This window comes from Homo sapiens, chromosome 10 (assembly GCF_000001405.40).
Source record: "Homo sapiens chromosome 10, GRCh38.p14 Primary Assembly".
NCBI classification, from domain to species: Eukaryota; Metazoa; Chordata; class Mammalia; order Primates; family Hominidae; genus Homo; species Homo sapiens.
Window position 1 is genome coordinate 27,212,643 of NC_000010.11, and position 24,502 is coordinate 27,237,144.

General features: G+C 39.3%; 1 protein-coding gene and 1 pseudogene across 45 annotated transcripts in view; both read right to left on the reverse strand.

Moving 5' to 3' along the window:
• ACBD5 (acyl-CoA binding domain containing 5) overlaps positions 1 to 24,502 on the reverse strand; it is a 59,274-nt gene that overhangs the window by 29,805 nt on the left and 4,967 nt on the right. For 12 of the 45 annotated variants that reach the window (XM_017016885.3, XM_017016896.2, XM_017016889.3 and 9 more), the window contains 6 exon segments: positions 22,450 to 22,570; positions 19,106 to 19,178; positions 10,696 to 10,810; positions 7,081 to 7,215; positions 5,338 to 5,541; positions 2,893 to 2,999 (listed from right to left, as the gene is read on the reverse strand). In XM_017016885.3, the coding sequence (XP_016872374.2) occupies positions 2,893 to 2,999; positions 5,338 to 5,541; positions 7,081 to 7,215; positions 10,696 to 10,810; positions 19,106 to 19,178; positions 22,450 to 22,570 (755 nt within the window). 45 annotated transcript variants of the gene reach the window in all.
• On the reverse strand, positions 19,617 to 19,674 carry RNU7-12P (RNA, U7 small nuclear 12 pseudogene; annotated as a pseudogene).

Here is a 24,502-nt window from a genome sequence, read left to right on the forward strand (position 1 = left end):
ATCTTGGCTCATTGCAACCACTGCCTCCCAGGCTCAAGCCATCCTCCCTGAGTAGCTACCATGCCTGGCTAAGTTTTTTATTTTTTTGTAGAGACGGGGTTTTGCCATGTTGCTCACGCGGCTCTGAAACTTGTGAGCTCAAGTGATCCACCTGCCTCGGCCTCCCACAGTGTTGGGATTATAGGTGTCAGCCACCATGACCAGCCTACGCCACTCCATTTGTGTTTGACCTTAAGTAAAAGATATTTTATTCATGTGTTTTTAAAATTTGAGAAAAGGGGTAGATTTAATTGCATTATGAAATGAGAAAAGGAGAAAAACACAAAAAGTTAAAATCATTTCAGGGAGGCAAAAGATAAATGATTTTCTATAAGACACACTGAACTGTATTAGAACAGGGTAGGTAGGTAGGAAACAGAATGGGGAGAGGATATAAAGAGGCCAAACAGAAATATAGCTGTCAAAACCACCTTTGTCAGATTAATAAGTAGAATACATAAGGAGCGTAAACAACTCAATAGGAAAAAAATCTAATAACCTGATTAAAACTGGGCAAAAGATCTGAATAGACATTTCTCAAAAGACCTACAAATGGCCAACAGGTATATGAAAAGGTGCTCAACATCACTGATCATCAGCGAAATGCAAATCAAAACTACAATGAGATATTACCTCGCCCCAGTTAAAATGGCTTTTATCCCAAAGACAAGCAATAACAAATGCTGGCAAGGATGTGAAGAAAAGGAAGCCCCTGTACATTGTCGGTGAGAATGTAAAATTAGTACAGCCACTGGGGAGAACAGTATGGAAGTTTCTTAAAAAACAAACAAACAAGCCGGGCGTGGTGGCTCACGCCTGAAATCCCAGCACTTTGGGAGGCCAAGGCAGGCAGATTACCTGAGGTCAGGAGTTCGAGACCAGCCTGACCAACATGGAGAAACCCCGTCTCTACTGAAAGTACAAAATTAGCGGGGCATGGTGGCGCATGTCTGTAATCCCAGCTACTCGGGAGGCTGAAGCAGGAGAATCACTTGAACCCAGGAGGCGGAGGTTGCAGTGAGCCAAGATCATCCCATTGCACTCTAGCCTGGGCAACAAGAGGGAAACTCCGCCTCAGAAAAAAAAAAAAGTACCAAAAATAGAGTTACCATATGACCAGCAATTCCACTGCTGGCTGTATACCCAAAAGAAAGGAAATCAATATATTGAAGAGATATCAGCACTCCCATGTTTATTGCAGCACTATTCACAATAGCCAAGATTTGGAAGCAACCTAAGTGTCCATGAACAGACGAATGGATAAAGAAAATGTGGTACATATACACGACAGAGTACTATTCTACCATAAAAAAGAATGAGATCCTGTCATTTGCAATATGGATGGAATTGGAAGATATTATGTTTAGTGAAATAAGCCAGGCATAGAAAGAAAAACTTCAAATGGTCTCACTTATTTGTGAGAGCTAAAAATTAAAACAATTAAACTCATGGAGATAGAGATACAATGAATAAGATCTAGTACCTGATAGCACAGCAGAGTGGCTATAGTCGGCAATACTTTGTTGTACATTTTAGAATAACTGAGGGAGTACAATTGGAATGTTTGGAACACAAAGAAATGATGACTGTCTGAAATAATGGATACTCCATTTACCCTGATGTGATTATTACACATCATATGCCTGCACCAAAATATCTCATATACCCCATAAATATATATTTATTATATTTTTTATATTTTACAAAAATAAAGTGGAGATGGGGGTCTCGCCTTCTTGCCCAGGCTGGTCTCAAACTCCTGGTTTCAAGCGAAGTTCCTGCCTCAGCCTCCTGGGATTACAGGTGTGAGCCACTGAGCCCAGTCTAACCCATGAATATATATACCTATGTGCCCATTAAAATTAAAAATTAAAAAATTAAAAATTAAAATACTGCTATCATCATTATCAGAAAAAGTTGAGAAAAAGGATTCATGGATGTCCTATAATTTGTTTTTCAAGTTTTCTCTCCCAATACTGGATCTTAATTAACTGAAATTTAAAAATTATTTCCACTAAAAATTTCAATCCAGTGAATTACAGTCAATGTGGAGAACAGACTTATTTGTTTGAAAATTATTCAGGCCAGCCTTGGTGGCTCACACCTGTAATCCCGGCATTTTGGGAGGCTGAGGTGGGAGCACTGATTGAGGCCAAGAGTTTGAGACCAGCCTAGGCAACATATCAAGAACCCATTTTTAGGTTGGGCACAATGCCTCACGTCCATAATCCCAGCACTTTGAGAGGCTGAGGTGGGCAGATCACTTGAGGTCAGGAGTTTGAAACCAACCTGGCCAACATGGTGAAACTCTGTCTCTACTGAAAATACAAAAATTAGCCAGGTGTGGTGGCACATGCCTGTAATCCCAGCTACTTGGGAGGCTGAGGCAGGAGAATTGCTTGAACCTAGGAGGCGGAGGTTGCAGTGACCCGAGATTGCGCCACTGCACTCCAGCCTGGGTGACAGACAGAGACCCCATCTCTAAAAAACAAAAAAAACAACAAAGAAGATCATTCAATTTTCCTGAACATTAATAAATGTTTCAAACATTGGGACTAGCATAAAAAGTGTTTTCTCTGCATCCCCATCCCACGTCTCCTAGAATATTTATAAATATATGTATATTATTAGTTATAATGGAGTAGTTAATATTATTAATTTTTCTTTGACTTTTCCAGAATTTTACCTATTTTTGAATTCATAAAAAATAGTTTAAAATACAAATGTTTAAACATTTTAGGAGTATCTTTTCAAAATGAAAAATAGCATGTATATTTGCTACTAACAGAAGTTACGCATTGAATTCTAATACACCACTTTGAAAATACACCAATCAGAAAATGTCATTTTTACCTCTTCTTGTCCAAATTGTTCCATAGAATCACAGTAAACTTCACTGTCTGAATCGCTTGTCAAATGCTGAATTCCTGTAACATCTTCAACATGATCATCATTTATATCTAAATATGAACAAAAGTGCAGATAGGGTAATTATACTATAGTAGAAGAAAAACAAATTTATTCCTTTGTTTTTTTGAGATGGAGTCTTGCTCTGTTGCCCAGGCTGGAGTGCAGTGGTGTGATCTCGGCTCACTGCAACTTCTACCTCTCGGGTTCAAGTGATTCTCCTGCCTCAGCCTCCCAAGTAGCTGGGATTACAGGTGCCCACCACCATGCCCAGCTAATTTTTGTTTCATTTGGTTTTGTTTTGAGACGGAGTTTTGCTCTTGTGGCCCAGGCTGGAGTGCAGTGGTGCGATCTCGGCTCACAGCAACCTCCGCCTCCCGGATTCAAGTGATTCTCCCGCCTCAGCCTCCCGAGTAGCTGGGATTACAGGTATGGGCCAACACACCTGGCTAATTTTGCATTTTTAGTAGAGACAGGGTTTCTCCATATTGGTGCGGCTGGTCTCAAACTCCTGAGCTCAGATGATCCACCCACCTTGGCCTCCCAAAATACTGTTTATTTTTGGTTTTTGAGATGGAGTCTCGTTCTGTGGCCCAGGCTGGAGTGCAGTGGTGTGATCTCGGCTCACTGCAACCTCTGCCTCCTGGGTTCAAGTGATTCTCCTGCCTCAGTCTCCAAGTAGCTGGGATTACAGGTGCACACCACCAAGCCCAGCTAATTTTTTGTATATTTACTTGAGATGGGGTTTCACCATGTTGGCCAGGCTGGTCTCGAACTTCTGACCTCAGGTGATCCGCCTGCCTTAGCCTCCCAAAGTGCTGGGATTACAGGCATGAATCACCGCACTCAGCCAACTTTTGTATTTTTAGTAGAGACGGAGTTTCACATTGTTGGTCAGGCTGGTCTCGAACTCCTGACCTCAGGTGATCCACCCGCCTCGGCCTCCCAAAGTGCGGGGATTACGGGCGTGAGCCACTGTGCCTGACCTTTGTTCCATTTTCAAAATTCATCAGCCTTATATTATTTTTATACTGAGAGACGAATTTGATTTATCAAGCCACACTTTTTAAAATTTACCAAAACTTTAAATTTAGTTGATAATTTTTATTTGAAAAGATTACAAAATATTTTATCATTGAATTCCATAAAGACAGCCTAGATGAAATCTTATAAAACCTAATAACCCTGTAAGAGAAAACTACCTACCAAGCAGGATGCCTAAATGTAAGATCCAACTAGGCAAGTTTGGTTCTTACATTACGAAATGATGTTTCTTGGCCGGGCACTGTGGCTCACGCCTGTAATCTCAGCACTTTGGGAGGCAGAGGAGGGCAGATCACAAGGTCAGGAGATCGAGACCATCCTGGCTAACACGGTGAAACCCCGTCTCACTAAAAAATACAAAAAATTAGCTGGGCATGGTGGCGGGCACCTGTAGTCCCAGCTACTCGGGAGGCTGAGGCAGGAGAATGGCGTGAAACCAGGAGGCGGAGCTTGCAGTGAGCTGAGATCGCATCACTGCACTCCACCCTGGGCGACAGAGCGAGACTCTGTCTCAAAAAAAAAAAAAAAAAAGATGTTTCTCGGCCGGGCGCGTTGCCTCACACCTGTAATTCCAGCACTTTGGGAGGCCAAGGCGGGTGGATCACTTAAGGTCAGGAGTTTGAGACCACCCTGGCCAACATGGTGAAACCCCGTCTCTACTAAAAATACAAAAATTAGCTGGGCATGGTGGCACGTGCCTGTTATCCCAGCTACTGGGGAGGCTGAGGCAGGAGAATTGTTTGAACCCAGGGGGCAGAGGTTGCAGTGAGCCGAGATTGCGCCACTGCACTCCAGCCTGGGTGACAGAGCGAGACACCATCTCAAAAAAAAAAAAAAGAGAAAAGAAAAAGAAATGATGTTTCTCACATGTACTATTATGTATCCCTAAAAATTAAAAAATAAGCCAGTGCATGGCTCAAACCTGTAATCCTAGCACTTTGGGAGGCCAAGGCAGGCAGATCACTTGAACCCAGGAATTCCAGACCAGCCTGGGCTACCTGGCAAAACCCTGTCTCTACAAAAAATTTAAACATTAACTGGGCATGATGGTACATGCCTGTAATCCCAGCTACTTAGGAGGCTGAGGCAGAATTGCCCAGGAGTTCAAGGCTGCAGTGAGCCATGACTATGCCACTGCACTCCAGCCTGGGCAACAGAAAGAGATACATATATAACCTTGGCCCTAATTCACTCTTTTTCAAAACTATAAATGCTTATAATATTAATAAGCCCTAAGATATTATTAAATAAGAGATTTTTAAATTAAACTGATCCTAAAGATCCTATAATTACTAAAAGACTATTCATAGGAAAGAGGCTGGACACAGAATTATTTGGGGACAATACCTTGGTGAATGCAAACAGCAGATTTTCCAGTTTGCCCCAAGTTTTCATCAATGGGCTTTACTTCTTCAGTGCTTCTGCCATTCAGGGAAGAACTGGCATGAATGTCATTCTGTATATCCTGAACAAAGCCATCTTTATCATAGCCATTAGTGACAATGACTTCCAAATTCTTATGGTCTGCTGACTTCTTCATCATTTTCTTATCTTTTACGAGAAAATGGGAAAGATTCATAAAAGTTCACAGTAGGTCACCTTCTGCATACCATGTTTTAATATCCAGCTGTTATTTCCCTAACCTACCACAATCCCTTTGAAGGGTTTCCTACTTGGATCAAAGAGAAGGCGTGCTCCTTGAAATGGGGTTTACTATACGCTGAGAGCTCACCCAAACTATGTTGGCTTCAAAACTGTTTCAGTTCCCTGTCAATCTTCTAGAATTTCTTTTAAAAAGTAATCTCTCAAAGTCTTTTTACTCCCTTAGGCATAAGCAAATTGCTCTATGAGACCTAGCAGTGCGAAGGGGTCCACATAGCTGATAAAAAGGATCCTTAAAGAAGGCGCTATTTGTCATACCTTACTGGAAAGGGAAGGCAAAACTAAGTTACACAGTTTTTTTTTTTTTTTGAGACAAAGTCTCGCTCTGTCACCCAGGCTAGAGTGCAATGGCATGAGCTTGGCTCACTGCAAATTCTGCCTCCCGGGTTCAAGTGATTCTCCTGCCTCAGCCTCCCAAGTAGCTGGGATTACAGGCGCCCGCCACTATGCCTGGCTAATTTTTGTATTTTTAGTAGAGACGGGGTTTCACCATGTTGGTCAGGCTGGTCTCGAACTCCCAACCTCAGGTGATCTGCCCGCCTCGGCCTCCCAAACTGCTGGGATTACGAGTGTGAGCAACCGTGCCCGGCCGCAGTTTGTTTTAGTGTCTTTCTGTCTCCCCTTTTGAAAACAGTCTTCCCGTGTGTTATTGGTATTCCAACAGGGCCCTCAATGCTCTAAGCCATAATTCCAATGTTCCTTCTTCATGAAAATTTATGCCTGTAGGCCGGGTGCGATGGCTCATGCCTATAAGCCCAGAACTTTGGGAGGCCGAGGTGAGCAGATCACTTGAGGTCAGGAGTCCAAGACCAGCCTGGTCAACATGGTGACATCCTGTCTCTACTAAAAATACAAAAATTAGCGGGGTGTGGTGGTGCATGCCTGTAATCCCAGCTAATTGCGAGGCTGAGGCAGGAAGACGGCTTGAGGCTGCAGAGGGCGGCAGAGGCTGCAGTGAGCAGCGATCATACCACTGCACTCCAGCCTGGGCAACAGAGCGAGACTCTATCTCATAAAAAAACAAAAAAAAAACACTATGCCTTTATCCTATTCTCTGGATTCCATTCTATTTTTGGTAAGATATTGAGAGTCTAACTTGTCTCCTATCCTTAGTAACTTATGCAGATTCATGTTGGGAACAACACTTTAAAATAGCACATGTCTAATGCAGCATTTCAGGCCATCCATTTGGAGGAGTGGCCTATTCTTGTCAACCTTCAATTAACACCTATTCCATTTACGCATAAGGTTGGCTGTTCCTATACTATGTAGTAGAGCCTTTTGGTCCACAGCAAACTTGTTTATAAGGTCAACAGCTTACATCCCACCACCTGCTTTAATCTTCTACAATACCAAATCAGCCCAAATGTCTTCATACCCTCTTAGTTTATTTATTGCAAAATTACTAACTGATTTTCCAAACATTACCATTATCACTTTGTTCTGCTCCTTTCACTTCTTCTTGGGCCTCTTCTTCCTCAGACTCGGCTCCACTGTCACTGCTTTCAGCTTTACCATTAACGGTTTTGGCGTTTGGAGTAGAAGTGAGAACATTACCAAGATCTAAAACATGAAATGACCACTTACTCACAATGTGATAATATACAATAATGTCATAATTTCCAAGTAATACTAATAAAATTTACAAATAACTAATAAAATAATTTTGAATTAAAATGTTATATATATAATAGTATTATTTTCTTTGACTATAAACATACATATATTACAAGACAAATTCCTTCAATTATCACCTTATGATCAAGCTATCTTAAATCCTTTCTGAATCAGGCAGAGGGTAAATTATTTTTAAGTTAATATCAATCAAAATAAAGTTAGAGATCAATGGATCTTCATACATGGCAAGTGAAGAGATACTTCCTATATGCTAGGATGCTGAAAACAAAAATATGTTTTTGGTTCTACCAACAATCTCATCAATATTACAGTTGGGGTCCATTTTACAAACTTTATTCCTGTATTACCTTTAGGACTTCAGGTGCACAACTCACATTATCTGTCTTTATGATATTTAAGTTTTTTTCTTAAAGTATCCATTAATGTGATCAATCACTTACAAAAGCAAATTGTCCAAGTGGCCAAAGCTATATCCCGAGGGTAAATACATCAGAGCTTCTCAACTTTAATGTGCATACAAATCTTCTGAGAGCTATTTAAGATGCAGATTCTGAATTAGTATGTCTAGGGTGATCTAAGATTCCAAATTTCTATAAAGATCACATTTGTTACCAATGCTGTTGGTTACTGGACACTGTTTTGAGAACATGGATTGAAAGACAATATTTTTGAGGTAACAATACTCCCCAAAATGATCTGCAAATTCACTGCAATCTGTATCAAAATCCAAGCTGGCATTTCTGCAAAAATTGACATGCAGATTCTAAAATTCATATGAAAATGTGAGGGATCAAGATTAGCCAAAACAATCTTGAAAAATAACAAAATTGGAGGACTCATCATTCCTGATTTCAAAACTTACTGTATATGTATATTCTGAAAATGGCAATGTAAAACTGATACATCTGTTCTATTGGACCTAAATGGCTACTTTTAAGGAAATGCTTTGTTTAGAAAAAAAAAGGCAAGACTGCAAACTGTTTTGCAATTTGGTAATATCTTACAAAATTACAAACATCAAACATTTCTAACTCCATTTCTAATATTTCTTACAGATATGCTTTCACATATGTGAAATGACAAATGTACGTGGTTATTCTCAGCAGTATTTTCTGAAGATCAAAGGAGTAAATAACCTAAATGTCCACCAGAATGGCTCAGGTTAAAAAAATTATGGTGCAGGTCCACAATCCCTTACTTACAACCCTTGGATCCAGATACATTTTGAAATCTCAAGTTTTCTAATTTTGCAAAGGTTATATGGTACATATGCCATTTGGTATATTATGTAACACATCCAATAGAGTCTAAGGCAGCTCTCACTAAAAAGAGAATGTGATTTTTGCAGCAAAACATATAAATAGTTACATTAAAGAGGAAAGAGACTCAAAATACCCTCGTTTTACTTCAGGTCAGGTTTTACTCCCCAGATTTTTAGTTCATATCAGACAGGTTTTGCTGCCAAATGAGTTTACCAAAAAACTTCTGGTCTTCAAAGATTTTTAAAATTGTAAGTTATAGCTAGGTAGCTGTGAGCCTGCACCTTTATTACTATTATTTACTCTTCTTTGTTTTATAATTAGCTGTTTAAATATCTGCCTCTGGCCAGTGGCTGGACACCACAGCAGCAGATCCAGATTTATTTCCCTCTGCATCCCAACATGCCTGACATACATAAAACATTTAATTTTTTTTTTCTGGCAGGGTACAATTGCTCATGCCTTTAATTCCAGTGCTTTGGGAAGCTGAGTTGGGAGGATTACCTGAGGTCAGGAGTTCGAGATCAGCCTGGCCCACATGGCAAAACCCTGGCTCTACTAAAAATACAAAAATTAGCCATACAAGAATACAAGTGTACACTTGTAATCCCAGCTACCTGGGAGGCTAAGTCAGGAGAATTGCTTGAACCCAGGAGTTGGAGGTTGCAGTGAGTCAAGATGGGACCACTGCACTCCAGTCAGTGTGACAGAGGAAGACTCCATCTCAAAAAAAAAAAAAAAAAAAAAAGAAAAGAAGAAAACATTTAGTTTTTTCTCTGAATTGAATAAGCATGCCTTATAAGAAGGACTACTTGTTAATATTTGACTTCTGTAAGCAAATCAGATGTAGAATGATGTGGTAGAGTTATGCCCAGTAAGCAGTCAGTACTACTTGCACGTGGTTTATGACCGTGACAAGGACCGATTTCAGCACAGGAAGATTACTATTCTGAAATGCTGCCATTATTGTCAATTATTAAAAGATGTCTTATAAATAGGGATGTCAAGGGAAAAAAAGGGGATGCCAGGCGATTTTTATTTAAAGGGTATATAATTTTCTCTTAAATTGACTCTTGTGGTCTCATTTCACTCTGCTTTCTAAAAAAAATTCAAGATCAAATGTTTAGTTAATACCAACAAATCTCCCATTTTATTCAACTCCTACAAGTATGCAAAACACAACCCTTTCAATCCTTTGTGTACATGAAGACAAAATTCTAAAAAAAAAAAAAAAATAGAAGTTGTAATCCATGCAGAGATGCTTGAACCAAAATAAAGAAAAAAGAAAACAAGCTAAATGAATTAACTGTCTTGCATTAGCTTATATGCTATAGTTAAACCACACCCTAAACACATCTATTTTTAATTTCTTTTTTTGTTTGTTTTTTTCTTTTTTTGAGACAGCATCTCACTCTGTTGCTCAGGCCGGAGTGCAGCAGAGTGATCTCGTCTCACTGCAAACTTTGCCTCCTGGGTTCAAGTGATTCTTGTGCCTCAGCCTCCCAAGTAGCTGGGATCACAGGCGTGTGCCACCATGCCTGGCTAATTTTTGTGTTTTTTGTAGAGACGGGGTTTCACCAAGTTGGCAAGTCTGGTCTTGAACTCCTGACCTCAAGGTGATCTGCCCGCTTTCGCTTCCCAAAGTGCTGGGATTACAGGCATGAGCCACCACACCTGGCCAACATATCCATTTTAAAATTAGCTAGTAAATCATTGAATTCAAAGTACTATTAACGTAATTCTCAAAGCAAAATAGAAAACATGACCTATCAAAATAAAACCATGAATTCTGCTATAATTTCGAATATACTAAGTAAACTACCTGGTGTATTTTAATAGCTTACCACTTAAGGGTTAAAATTTTAAGGGTTTATAATGTTTTGGAACTTCATATAATGTGTTTGCCTGGAATGAAAACTCCTGGGTGACAAGATTGTAAGTTCTGTAAGTTTGTGCAGAATTCTTTTGACATGTAAATTTTAAACAAAACTTTTACATGATTTCATGATTCCTACCTTCTAAACATTTAGAGATTTTCTCCAGTCGGACTGGCGCGTGAAAGTAAGAAAAAAAATCAGAGATACAAATATTAATATGTGCATAATATATCAGTTGATGAATTTAAAAATAGGTAAAATAGTCCAACCTGAGGTTATATCAGAACTCCTGCCACTCTTTTTGTCCTCGACAATTTCATAAAATGGACCTATGACACGCAGCAATTCTTCAACTTTCTCAGTCATTGGCATAGTTTCAATAATCTGTAATCAAAAGAAACAAATATTGTGAAATCACAAACTCTTAATTTGATCTCCACTAATATCAAATAATCTCCTATTTCCAATTTGTCAATAATTTTAATATTTGACATTCATAATAGACTCTCTGAAGGATCTACATTAATTACATACTTAATGTATACACACTGTGGCCGGGCTAAGTGGTGGCTCATGCCTGTAATCCCAGCACTTTGGGAGGCCAAGGCAGGAGGATGGCTTGAGCCCAGAAGTTTGAGACCAGCCTTGGCAACACAGTGAGACCCTGTCTCTTAAAAATTTTTTAAAAAACATTAACCAGGCACGGTGGTGTGTGTCTGTGGTCCCAGCTACTCCAGAGGCTGAGGTGGGAGGATTACATGAGCCTGGGAGGTCGAGGCTACAGTGAGCCATTATGGCACCACTGCACTCCAGGCTTGGTGACAGAGTGAGATGCCATCTCCAAAAATTAAAAAATAAAATAAAAGGAATCCTTTAAAAAAAGTATATACACTCCTAGAAAAGCTTCAAGTATATTAAAGATCTAAAAGTGTTCTCATTTTGAAGATTATTTTACATGAGCTTCATGTAAAATTTTATACAATAACTTATAAATTGTGTATTACAGCTAGGGGGCGCAGTGCAATGGCTCACACCTGTAATCCCAGCACTTTGGCAGGCCAAAGCAGGAGGAGGATGGCTTGAGCCCAGGAGTTCGAGACTTGCCTGGGCAACATAGTAAGGGCCCATTTCTACAAAAAAAAAAAAAAAAATTGTCTAATTATCCAGACATGGCGGTGCACGCCTGTAGTCCCAGCTACTCGGGAGGCTGAGGTGGAAGGATCTCTTGAGCCCAGGAAATTGAGGCTGCAGTGAGCCATGATCACACCACACTGCACTCCAGCCTAGGCAACAGAGCGAGATCTTGTCTCCAAAAAAATAAAGGAAACAAACAAAAAAACTAGGGGCTTTCATTAAACGAAATAGAAAACTGAAGTTAGAGTAAAATTATGATGTCTGTTCTTTAACAATAAGGTAGCGTAGTATTTCTAACAGGGCACAAAAGTAAAGTAGGAAATTGTAATCACTTTCAGACACCTTCATAAATATGGGCCAATTTAGAATCACCAAATTTAAAGAACAAGGTAAATTAACTGAAAAGGTATTTAACTAAACAGCCATCAATTGGTGACTGATCAAAGAAATTAAAGTATTTCTAGATTTGAAATATTTTGCATATATTAAAAAGAATAAAGTCAGCTCTGTGTGTGCCAATCACAGGATGTTTAATATGATAACAGGGGCCGGGCGTGGTGGCTCACGCCTGTAATCCCAGCACTTTGGGAGGCTGAGGCAGGAGGATCACCTGAGGTCAGGAGTTTGAGACCAGCCTGTCCAACATGGTGAAACCCCATCTCTACTAAAAATACAAATATTAGCCGGGCTTGGTGGCATGCACCTGTGATCCCAGCTACTTGGGAGGCTGAGGCGAGAGAATTGCTTGAACCCAGGAGGCGGAGGTTGCAGTGAGCCAACATCACACCACTGCATTCCAGCCTGGGCAACAAAGTGATACTCTGTTTCCAAAAAAAAAGATACCAGAACTGGCTCCCTCTCTCTCGCTCTCTTTCTTTTTTTTTTTTTTTGGAGACAGCGTCTCGCTCCATCATCACCCAGGCTGTAGTGCAGCGGCACGATCTCGGCTCACTGCAACTTCCACCTTCCTGGTTTGAGCAGTTCTCACCTTCAAGCAATTTCAGACACCTTCATAAGTGATTTGCCCACCTCGGCCTCCCAAAGTGCTGGGGTTATAGGTGTTAGCCACTGCGCCTGGCCAAAACCCTAAAATTCTTGTTCAAACAACATGCTTTTATTCCTAAACCAAATACAAGATGGATCATTGGTGGTCTATGGTAGTCAGCAACTCTGATAGGATTACATGCTCATCAACACCATTCCCCACTGTGTTATATGTGTAGGAGGAGGTTGTTGAGAGAGATTACACAGAATGAACTATGTTAACAATAACTGGTTCTAGTGATTATAATTTAATTTTACAGCTTGTAGTAAATTATCTGATTGCTGCTCCTCTGAATGTACTGTGAAAGGAATGCTTTAATCACAAAATTTCTTTTTGCTAAAGGAAACATTTGTTATGAGGCTAGGGCCATGTGGAGGAATGTTTTATTATTTATTATAAATATCTGAGTTGTAATATATTTGAATTATAATAATAATTCTGAGATAAATCAGATTCAAACCAAGAGAAATGTTTAATGTGACCAAGTCACAACTAATAAATGGCAGAGAAATAATTCAAACATAAATCAGCACCCTTTACACTATCCCACACTGCCGTAATATAAAGACTTCAGTTAGCAGAATCTAGTAAGCCAATTGCATACCACATCCTGACCACCAAGCAACACCTCTACTTCTCAAGGCTTATTAAAAGATCTCTTTCTTAACTTTGTCCTTATTTTTAAGGCTACTAAATTCGGCATTTGGGTTTCTCATGCCCCATAGGGTAAAAGAGTAAACTGTGGACTGAAGTCTCAGAACGAAATAAAAGGAGTATCCATTGGCAGTAAGCAAATATTAACTGAGTATTCATTCTCTCAACAAACCAGAATTTCAGTAGTTAATATAGTGAAGACACAGTAGCCAAAACAAGACACATCCAAAATTGATGAAGTTACTCTCTTTGTTTTTTCTTTTTCTTTTAGATTCAGAGGGTACATGTGCAGGTTTGTTACAAGGGTATACTGTGTGATGCTGAAGTTTGGGCTTCTATTGATCCAGTCACCCATACAGTAAACACAGTACCCAATAGGAAGTTTTTCAGCCCTTTCCTCCACCCTTTTGAAGAGGTTATTCTCTGAGGAAGCAACTTTAAACATACACAAACCAAGAATGATCCCCAGCCATTTGCAAAATTATCTCCCTGACACCAATATTGAAATACAAGAAATGGTGCACATGTACACACATGAGATACAGACTACACACACACACACACACACACACACACACACACACACAAGCAGACACAGGCAAATCTCAGTCTAGGTAACTACTACCTACCCTCAGAGAAGATGTTATCTAAACCAAGCTTGTCCAATCTGCAGTCCTCGGGCAGCATGTGGCCCAAGACGGCTTTAAATACCCAACACAAATTCGTAAACTTTCTTTTTTTTTTTTAATTTTTTTTGTTAATTTTTTTGCGACAGCGTCTCACTCTGTCGCACAGGCTGGAGTGCAGTGGCATGATCTTGGCTCACTGCAGCCTCTGCCTCTGGGGTTCAAGCAATTCTCCTACATCAGCTGCCCGAGTAGCTGAGACTATAGGCATGCACCACCATGATCAGCTAACTTTTTTGTATTTTTAGTAGAGACGGGGTTTCACCATGTTACCCAGGCTGGTGTGGAACTCCTGACCTCAAGAGATCCACCCACCTCGGCCTCCCAAAGTGCTGGGATTACTAGCTGGGATTACTAGTGTGAGCCACTGCGCCTGGCCCAAATTCGTAAACTTTCTTAAAACATTCTGATTTTTTTTGCGATTTTTTTTTTTTTTTTTTTTTTTAGTTCACCAACTATTGTTAGTATCAGTGTATTTTATGTGTGGCCTAAAATAATTCTTCTTCCAGTGTGGCTCAGGGAAGCCAAAAGATTGGCCACCCCTGGTCTAAAGTTATAAGTTAACTAAGCTAATTTAATATATTATAACCCAACCAAATGAAGAATGTTTTGACAGAAATATCTGGTAAGCTGCATGGACACCAGAAAAGAGGCATCCAAAGCCCCATAATTTTTCTAGGTCTGTCCAGCACTTTTCCTCAGTGAGAGACATCATTTCTACATGATGAAAATATACTGGAAAGGTGTAGATATACTCTTAAGAAAGCGAAGACTAAATTCCTCAGGCTTTTTTGGTCCAAAATTACCACATCTCTTAAAGCCATCCAAATCCTAATGCTCTACTCTCTGTTCAATGGAATCACTAACTCAGTCTCCCAAGCACTTCTAACCTTTTGAAGAGTGACCTAGATATCACTTCTGAGTATGCTGATCACTAGAAGCCTATCACTCACTTTAAGAAACTGGCATTTGTTTTTTCCCTCAATCTGCAAAAGATGTTTACTATGAGTGAAACCTTAAAACAAAAGCCAACCCTCAGTACTCAGAGACAGTTGGTGTTCTAGAGTTGTTGAGCTATGGACTAGACCCTCTGCCATGGCAACTTTCAGGTTCCATCTTTATTTATTTATTTATTTATTTTCTGAGACAGAGTCTCGCTCTGTTGCTCAGGCTGGAGTGCAATGGTGTGATCTCGACTCCCTGCAACCTCCGCCTCCTTAATTCAAGTGATTCTTCTGTCTCAGCCCCTCTAGTAGCTGAGATTACAAGCGCCCGCCACCACGCCCAGCTAAATTTTTGTATTTTAGTAGAGATGGAGTTTCACCATGTTGTCCAGGCTGGTCTCCAACTCCTTACCTCAGGTGATCCGCCTGTCTCAGCCTCCCAAAGTGCTGGGATTACAGGCATGAGCCACCGCGCCCGGCCGAGATTCCATCTTTAATGAGACCATCCTCTAATCCTCCCTCTATTACAGTGATTATCCCAATCTCTTAGAAATCCTGAAATAATTAGTCTGGGGTCATCCTGGGGCATTTCTATTTTTTCACAAGATCCCCTAGTGATTTTAATGTGTAGCCAGGGTTTAGTACACCCATCTCTTTTTAAATTCAACAGACATAAGGCACATTATTCAAATGTTAGCTGAATATTCTGGAAATCCCCAGAAGAGAGCCTAAATTTGTACAAAAAAAAAAAAATAGAATTTTGGCCGGGCGTGGTGGCTCATGCCTATAATCCCAGCACTTTGGGAGGCCGAAGTGGGAAGATCACGAGGTCAGGAGTTTGAGATCAGTCTGGCCAACATAGTTTGAAACCCCGTCTCTACTAAAAATACAAAAAATTAGCCAGATGTGGTGGTTTGCGCCTGTAATCCCAGCTACTCGGGAGGCTGAGGCAGGAGAATGGTGTGAACCGAGGAGGCGGACGTTGCAGTGAGCCAAGATGGCGCCGTTACACTCTAGCCCAGGCGACAGTGCGAGACTCCGTCTCAAAAAAAAAAGAATTTTATACTTCTATAAATAAACCTTATTGAATGAAACATGCATTTCTCCCACTCCTCAAACCACATTACTTTCCCTCAAAGCTAAAATCCTATTACATTATATTAAAATAATGTTTTATTCCATTAAGTTTTTCAGTGACATTTTATGGGACACTATCAATTATGAAAAGCAATTTTCTATAAAACATAATCCTATTATGTTTATATATATATATATATATATATATTTTTTTTTTTTTTTTTTTTTTTGAGACAGATTATTGCCGTTACCCAGGCTGGAGTGCAGCGGCGCAATCTCGGCTCACTGCAACCTCTGCCTCCCGGGTTCAAGCGATTTTCCTGCCTCAGCCTCCCGAGTAGCTGGGATTACAGGCGTATGCCACTACGCCAGGCTAATTTTTTTTGTATTCTTAGTAGAGACGGGGTTTCGCCATGTTGGCCAGGCTGGTCTCAAACTCCTGACCTCAGGTGATCCGCCCGCCTCGGCTTCGGAAAGTGCTGGGATTACAGGCCTGAGCCACCACAGCCGGCGTTAAAAGAATTTTTTATTCAATCAACTTTCTCAGTGATATTTCATGGGACAACTTATAAATTATGAAAAGTCACTTTCTACAAAACATCATTATAAAATATAGTTAAATTAATAAGATTGCTGAAACCTCTGACTGCAAAGACACAAAATGAGATTTATACTGTAAAGAATAATGACAGTGACAGGCCAGGCACACGGTGGCTCATGCCTGTAATCCCAGCACTTTGCAAGACCGAGGTGAGTGTATCACCTGAGGTCAGGAGTTCGAGACCAGCCTGGCCAACATGGTGAAACCCCCATCTCTACTAAAAATACTAAAAATTAGCTGGGCGTGACGGCATGCCTCTGTAATCCCAGCTACTCGGGAGGCTGAGGCACGCACCACTGCACTCCAACCTGGACAACAGAACCAGATCCTGTCTCAAAAAAAAAAGAATAATGACAAAAACTATATTTAAGGAGGTAATTTAACAAGTGCTTCAATTAGTAAATTATTGAAATTAGAATAAGTCCCAAATTCAATAATCAAATCTTTGGGATAATGTACTATCCCACAACATTATTTAGAAACACGCAATTTTATTAACTGATAGTCATAAAGCTAAACTCTAAAAATAATTCAAAAGAGTAATCAAATTTTCAATTTATGGATATCTTGATATTTTTAGGTTTACCTCTAAAATTGCACTGTAAACTTTGTCATATTCACAATACGCAATGAAATTTTTAAAGTGTGAATGAAAAGAGTAAATTATTTTAATTAAAGGAGTTACAGGTATTTCAGCAGCAATATAGTTTTAATCTTTCTTAGGGAAAAAGGCAGAATACACATTGCCTCATCGTCCTCCAACTTTAAAATGTGGCTATACCATTAATTAACACAATTGAATAGGACAAATGAGTAAATTTTACTTAATGTGTCAATTCAACATTATGTTATAGAAGTATGTCCTAAAAATTATAAAGAAATTTAAGGTAAAAAAAAAAAAAAGAGAAATAGTTATGAAACCAAAAGGCTTTAGATTACCTTTCATTCTCTGCTTTTGAAAGGCCTATTTGTTATTGTGTTATTGACATAGTTAATAGCCAAAAGAACGAAACTCTGCCCTTGGTTACAAAGTCTACCAAATAAAAACTGCAAGAATGTAATAAAGGGCATGACTATGAGCAATGTAGAAGAAATTTAAAAAGAAAAAAAAAACAAGTCTAAATCTAGTAATAACAAATAAAAATTACTACAGAGATTAATACCATCAAATCATGTGGCAAAAAACTATTCCTTTTTACAGATTTTCTTTATGTTCAAAGATAATTTATTTAAAATTATCAAACTTAGATTTCACAACCTCTGATCCATGTCTAACATAAAAATGGTTCTTTATAAAAAAGTCTCTGCCGGGCATGGTGGCTAACGCCCGTAATCCCAGAACTTTGGGAGGCCAAGGCAGGTGGATCACCTGAGGTCCGGAATTTGAGACCAGCCTGGCCAACATCGTGAAATCCCGTCTGCACTAAAAATACAAAAATTAGCCAGGTGTAGTGGTGCGCGCCTGTAATCCTAGCTACTTGGGAGGCTGAGGCAGGAGAATCTCTTGAACCCAGGAGGTGAAGGTTACAGTCAGCCAAGATCATGCCACTGCACTCCAGCCCGGGTAACAGAGTGAGACTCCATCTCAAAAAAAAAAAAAAAAAGACTCTATGATCATCTTTAAAATTCATGATTTCTTCATATACTTGCTCCTCAAAAGAATGCCTTTGACACACTTAAAAGAGCTAGTTAATAATGAATGCCCCTTCCTTACTAGTTAGCAGAGAACCTGAAAACTTCCTTATCTTATTCTGCTTCTGAAGGATCTATGTACTCACAGAAAAATGTGACTTCTTACAACAGTCCAGGGAAAAGAATACCTACCTCAATTTACGAGTGAAAACTTGCATGAGAACATTGTTGAACTAAGTAAAAAGTTCCAAAGCAGAAATACTTTCAAGAGAGTCCAGCTACTTCCTAGACTCCTGAGTAAGGGATTTCAATATTTTCAAAGATTACTATTTCTACACTTTCTCCAGAAGTTGACTATAGAGAAAGATAGGGGAGATTAAAAACCAAAAAACAGGCTAGGCGCAGTGGCTCATGCCTGTAATCCCAGCACTTTGGGAGGCTGAGGCAGGTGGATCACTTGAGGTCAGAAGTTCAAGACCAGCCTGGCCAACATGGAAAAACAACATCTCTGCTAAAAATACAAAAATTAGCTGGGTGTAGTGGTGTGCACCTGTAGTCCCAGCTACTCGGGAGGCTGTGGCAGGAGAATTGCTTGAATTTGGAAGGCGGAGATTGCAGTGAGCCAATGTCATGCCACTGCACTCCAGCCTGGGCTACAGAGAAAGACTCCATCTCAAAACAAAAACAAAATAAAACATCACATCATCACAGTGTGATATATCTTAGGGAAAAAACACTTAAGATGAACTTTAATGAAGCAGAAAAGTCCTAACAAATCCAATAATCTAGATTCTATTGTATAACATACTACAATCTCCTTAAAGCAAAGCAGCTAATTTGTCTGATAACCAAATTAAATTAGAGCTGCTCTGAATTTTCATTTTAACTGTGAATTATTTTCCCTACCTTTTTCATTTCTTCAACATATGCAATCATGGCTTCCTCTTTGGTCATATCACCCAGTGAACTCCAAGCATCCCTAGAAATGAAAGTATCCACAAAATGACAAAGAGACATCTGATTTTAATTGCTCAGAATACAATTTATAGTTGATGCTATAGGGTTACTAATTAAAACAGGTTCTACTTAAAGCCATAACAGGATTGTCTTAAATGTGCTACCATGAAGAAAATTATCACAGCAAATAAACTAGCAAATTAAATAGTATTTAAAACAAATAAGTATATAACCCGTCTATGTAGTAATGTACCAGAGACTACAGACCATTCATAAATATTTGATAAGAATCCTTCAAAGTTTTTATATTATTACAAAGAACAGTAACAGAAATACACATTTTAGAAGACTACATTATTGCTTCTCAGGTTTTGGCTAAGATCAAGTGTAGAAGACTACATTAATTGTCACAGGCATGTTTTATTTTTTCTTTTTCTTTTTAATATAAATTTCTCAATAGGCTTTCCGGTAAAGACCGGAAAGCCTGCTAGAAAAATTCTAAAAGAGCTGTAACACTCAGGCATGGGTTTTTTTTTTTTTTTTTTTCTGAGACAGAGTCTCGCTCTGTTGCCCAGGCTGGAGTGCAGTGGTGTGGTCTTGGCTCACTGCAACCTCCACTTCCTGGGTTCAAGAGATTCTTCTGCCTCAGCCTCCTGAGTAGCTGGGATTACAGGCATGCACCCCCACACCCAGATAATTTTTGTATTTTAGTAGAGATGGAGTTTCACCATGTTGGCCAGGTTGGTCTCGAACTCCTAACCTCATGTGATCCACTGTTTTGACCTCCCAAAGTGCTGGGATTACAGGGATGAGCCACTGCGCCCAGCCAGCCATGTTTTAAATGAACAGACATTTTGGTTAACAGGTTCTATTAATTTAAATAAGAGCCTAACTTGTACATTTGAACTAAAAATGGAAATGGTTTCTCACTTCTAGGATACTGAAAATGTGAGAGACAGGAAATTTTTAAACCCCTAAATAATAATAGTTCTTTCAAATTTTTGCCCGACATGTAAACCTCCATTTTTATATGTTTTTCCCCGAAGGAGTTTAACTCCACCAAAGGTCAATTCTAGGGGAAAAACATGAAGCAAATAATTAAATCTTCTTAAAATGGGCAAATCAAATTATATTAAATAATATTTAATACTACTAAAATTAAGTTATATGAAATAATAACATATTACTATTTCATTTAACCTGTTATTTTGTGACAATTCATAAAGATCTTAAAGGAAAGTAGAGAACTAAGAAATCTTAAAACAAGCTTATGGCACTTCCAGTTCAGGGTGAAGAAACTGAGCATCACAGTGTGTGGGGAAAAAACAAACAAACAAACAAAAATGGGCAGGGCACAGTGGCTTATGCCTGTAATCTCAGCACTTTGAGAGGCCATGGCGGGCGGATCACTTTAGGTCAGGAGTTCGAGACTAGCCTGGCCAACATGGTGAAATTCTGTCTTTACTAAAGACATAAAAATTAGCCAGGCGTGGTGGCACGCGCCTGTAATCCCAGCTACTCGTGAGGCTGAGGCAGGAGAATTGCTTGAACTTGGGAGGCGGAGATTCAGTGAGCCAAGATCGCGCCACTGCACTCCAGCCTGGGCGACAGAGTGAGACTCCGTCTGAAGAAAAAAAAAAAAAAAAACTGGTGTGGCATGGTGGTTCACACCTGTAATCCCAGCCAAGGCAGGTGGATCACTTGAGACCAGGAATTTGAGACCAGCCTGGGCAACACATGCAAACCCCGTCTAGGAAAAAATTTAAAAAATTAGCCGGGTGTGGTGGCACAAGCATGTGGTCCCAGCTACTAGGGCGGCTGAGGTGGGAGAATTGTTTGAGCCCAGGAGGCAGAGGTTGCAGTGAGCCATGATGGTGCCACTACACTCCAGCCTGAGTGATGGGAGTGAGACCCTGTGTCCAAAAAAAAGGTGTGGGTTTTAAAACATGCTTCACCACTGGGGCGGGAGCGGGGGGTGGCTCACGCCTATAATCCCACCACTTTGGGAGGCCGAGGCGGGCAGATCACCTGATGTCGGGAGTTCAAGACCAGCCTGACCAACATGGAGAAACCCTGTCTCTACTAAAAATACAAAATTAGCTAGGCGTGGTGGCGCATGCCTGTAATCCTAGCTACTCAGGAGGCTGAGGCAGGAGAATCGCTTGAACCTGGGAGGCAGAGGTTGCGGTGAGCTGAGGTCACGCCATTGCACTCCAGCCTGGGCAACAAGAGTGAAACTCCATCTCAAAAATAAATAAATAAATAAAACATGCTTCACCAATTAGCATATTCTGTTCATAACGTACAGTCTAAAATTGACTTTTCTCAGACATTTGTGAAGGCTTCAATTGTATTAGAGTATCAACTGTTAGTCAACTGGGAAAACAGCACGGATGAGTACAGGTACCTGTATCTATAATTCTTTTAGTTTATAGTTTATAATTCATTTAAGTATACTTTTTAGTTTAGAATTCTTTTAAGTATATAAAAGATCAAATTTCTATTCAATTACAGTAGGTCAGAAGTGACAGCTTAGATAAAAAGTTAGCATGGCAGTACCTGAGTCATATTCCTAGTTATTTATTATCTTCAAGGCTCAGTACAAACAAGGAAAAGCCATTATTTTTCTTGCAGGCAAAAGAGGCAGTTAAAAGTTTGTTTATTTAACTTAGGTTGGGAGTTGCTCTTGCCTTAAAAAAAAAAAAAAAAAAAGGGAAAACTCCATGAAAGTAAAGATTAACTGATAATGCTTCTTTATCTTTGATGCACCTATCCCTTTTGGTTTTACTGTTTTCCTCTCCTCCCCAAGATTTTCCTATTTGTGTAAAATTGTACTAAGAGCACCTGGGAAGGCTGGGCATGGTGGCTCACGCCTGTAATCCCAGCACTTCGGGAGGCCGAGGTGGGCGGACCACCTGAACCCAGCAGTTCGAGACCAGCGTGGCCAACATAGTGAAACCCTGTCTCTACTAAAAATACAAAAATTAGCTGGGTGTGGTGGCGCGCACCTGTAATCCCACCTACTCAGGAAGATGAGGCAGGAGAATCACTTGAACCCAGGAGGCAGAGGCTGCAGTGAGCCGAGATCCTGCCACTGCACTCCAGCCTGGGCAACAGAGTGAGACTCCATCTCAAAAACAAACAAACAAAAAAGAAAACCTGGAGGATAAAAATTGTACCCAATACCTAGGACACTTTCTGCACAGAATAATATATAACCACTTAAGTAATAGCCATATGATAATTATGTCATTAAAATTTAAATTCTTGCATAGCTCTACACAAAAAATTACCATTTATATCTTCCAATAGGATCCCAAAATCCAGGCCTTGAAAGTTTACAGGGTCCTTCAGTTGCCTGCTTATAGAAGCTATAAAATTTAAGCATCATTTCATTTGTTGGCTGGAATGAACCTGTTGGAAACACACATTAAATACAAATCACCTGGGGAATACAACTGATAATCAGGTTATAAATTAGCTTAGCTATACTAATAGTGATTTTATATTGCATTAATACTTTAGATAATGATTTATTTCTAGCTTATAGAAACAAAAGTTATGGTTCTGTTAGTTGCTTGCTTCTTTGATTTCAAAACACTCTGAGATTTTAAACTTTAATAGCAATGCCTAAGATGGTTCAATAAATAAAAGAATACATGAATAGACATGCTGTAGATATAACCAAAATAACCTGCAAATGTCTCTTTAAAAACATACTAAAATATAGAATAACTATTATTAAGCAATCGTAATAAGGTACTTTTATTCAAAGCTTATGACAAATCAAAACTGACTAGTGTAAGTGAAAAAGTTATATGTATACTCTGCCAAATTTCAAATTCTCAGTAGATAAGGAATTTGGGGCTAAAGCCAAAGAGTATACACTATGGTAGAAAAAGAATTAATCTAAGATAAAATAGATTTCTCACTTCCTACCTCTGTAATTTTGGAGACATCAATTTGAGGATAATTCTTCATATATGTTTCTAGCATATCTATAGTTTTTCTCATGTTTAAAATTTTTAAATTGGCCAGTTGTGGTGGCTCATGTCTGTAATCCCAGCACTTTGTGAGGCTGAGGTGGGTGGATCACCTGACCCCAGGAGTTCAAGGCCAGCCTGGGCAACATAGCAAAACCCTGTCTCTACAAATAAAAACAAAAATTAGCTGGGTGTGATGGCACACCCTGTAGTCCCAGCTACTCAGGAGCCTAAGCAGAGAGGATCTCCTGAGCCTGGGGAGGTCAAGGATGCAGTGAGCTGTGATCACACCACTGCACTACAGCCTCGGTGACAGAGAAAGACCCTGTCTCAAAAAAAAAAAAAAAAAAATCAAATTGTATAAGCAAGTGCTATAAGTTGCAGTATTCTCAATAACTGAAAAATTGGAATGTTAATGTTTTATAATAGCTGTTTAAATAATTATGATATATAAATATAACAGGACAATTTATAACTGTAGCCCTAAAAAGTTATATTGTAGAAAAATATAAATAATGGTATAAGTTCCATGATCTACTATAAATTTAGAAAAATAAGTTTAAAAACAACATATGTAATATGATACCTTTTGGCAAAATATTTATATACATAAAAAGTACAGTAGAAAGATAAACATAAAATGTTTAAAGACTATCTCTGAATAGTAAGTATACAAATTATTTTCCTTTTCACTTATGTGTTTTTAAAAAAGTTTTAAACATCAGTGTATATTACCTTTATAACAAAATTTTAAAAATAACAATTGTAACAAGATATTTTTTAAAATTTGTAAATTGCATAAGCTAGCAGTTTATAAGAGCTGTGGGCCGGGCACAGTGGCTCACACCTGTAATCCTAGCACTTTGGGAGGCCGAGGCAGGCGGATCACCGGAGGTCAGGAGTTTAAGACCAGCCTGGCCAACATGATGAAACCCCGTCTCTACTAAAATACAAAAATTAGCCGGGCATGACGGTGGGTGCATGTAATCCCAGCTACTCAGGAGGCTGAGACAGAATTGCTTGAACCTGGAAGACGGTGGTTGCAGTGAGCCAAGATCACACCACTGCACTACAGCCTGGGCAGCTGAGCAAGACTTGGTCTCAAAAAAAAAAAAAAAAAAAAAGCTGTGCTGTGGAAATTACCACAGAGATAAACTGAGAACTAGTGTTTCAGGTTTGGCCGAGAGTGCATAATTAATTCTCAAATCACTATAATAATTATCTGTATAATATATGCACATTTAGGAGTACCTAATAGATAGTGTTCTAATGATACAATCCTTTATAAAGCAGAGGGAAAAAAATGGAGAAACCACAGTTTAAAATGGTCACTTATTTAAATAACACAAATCTAAATTTAAAA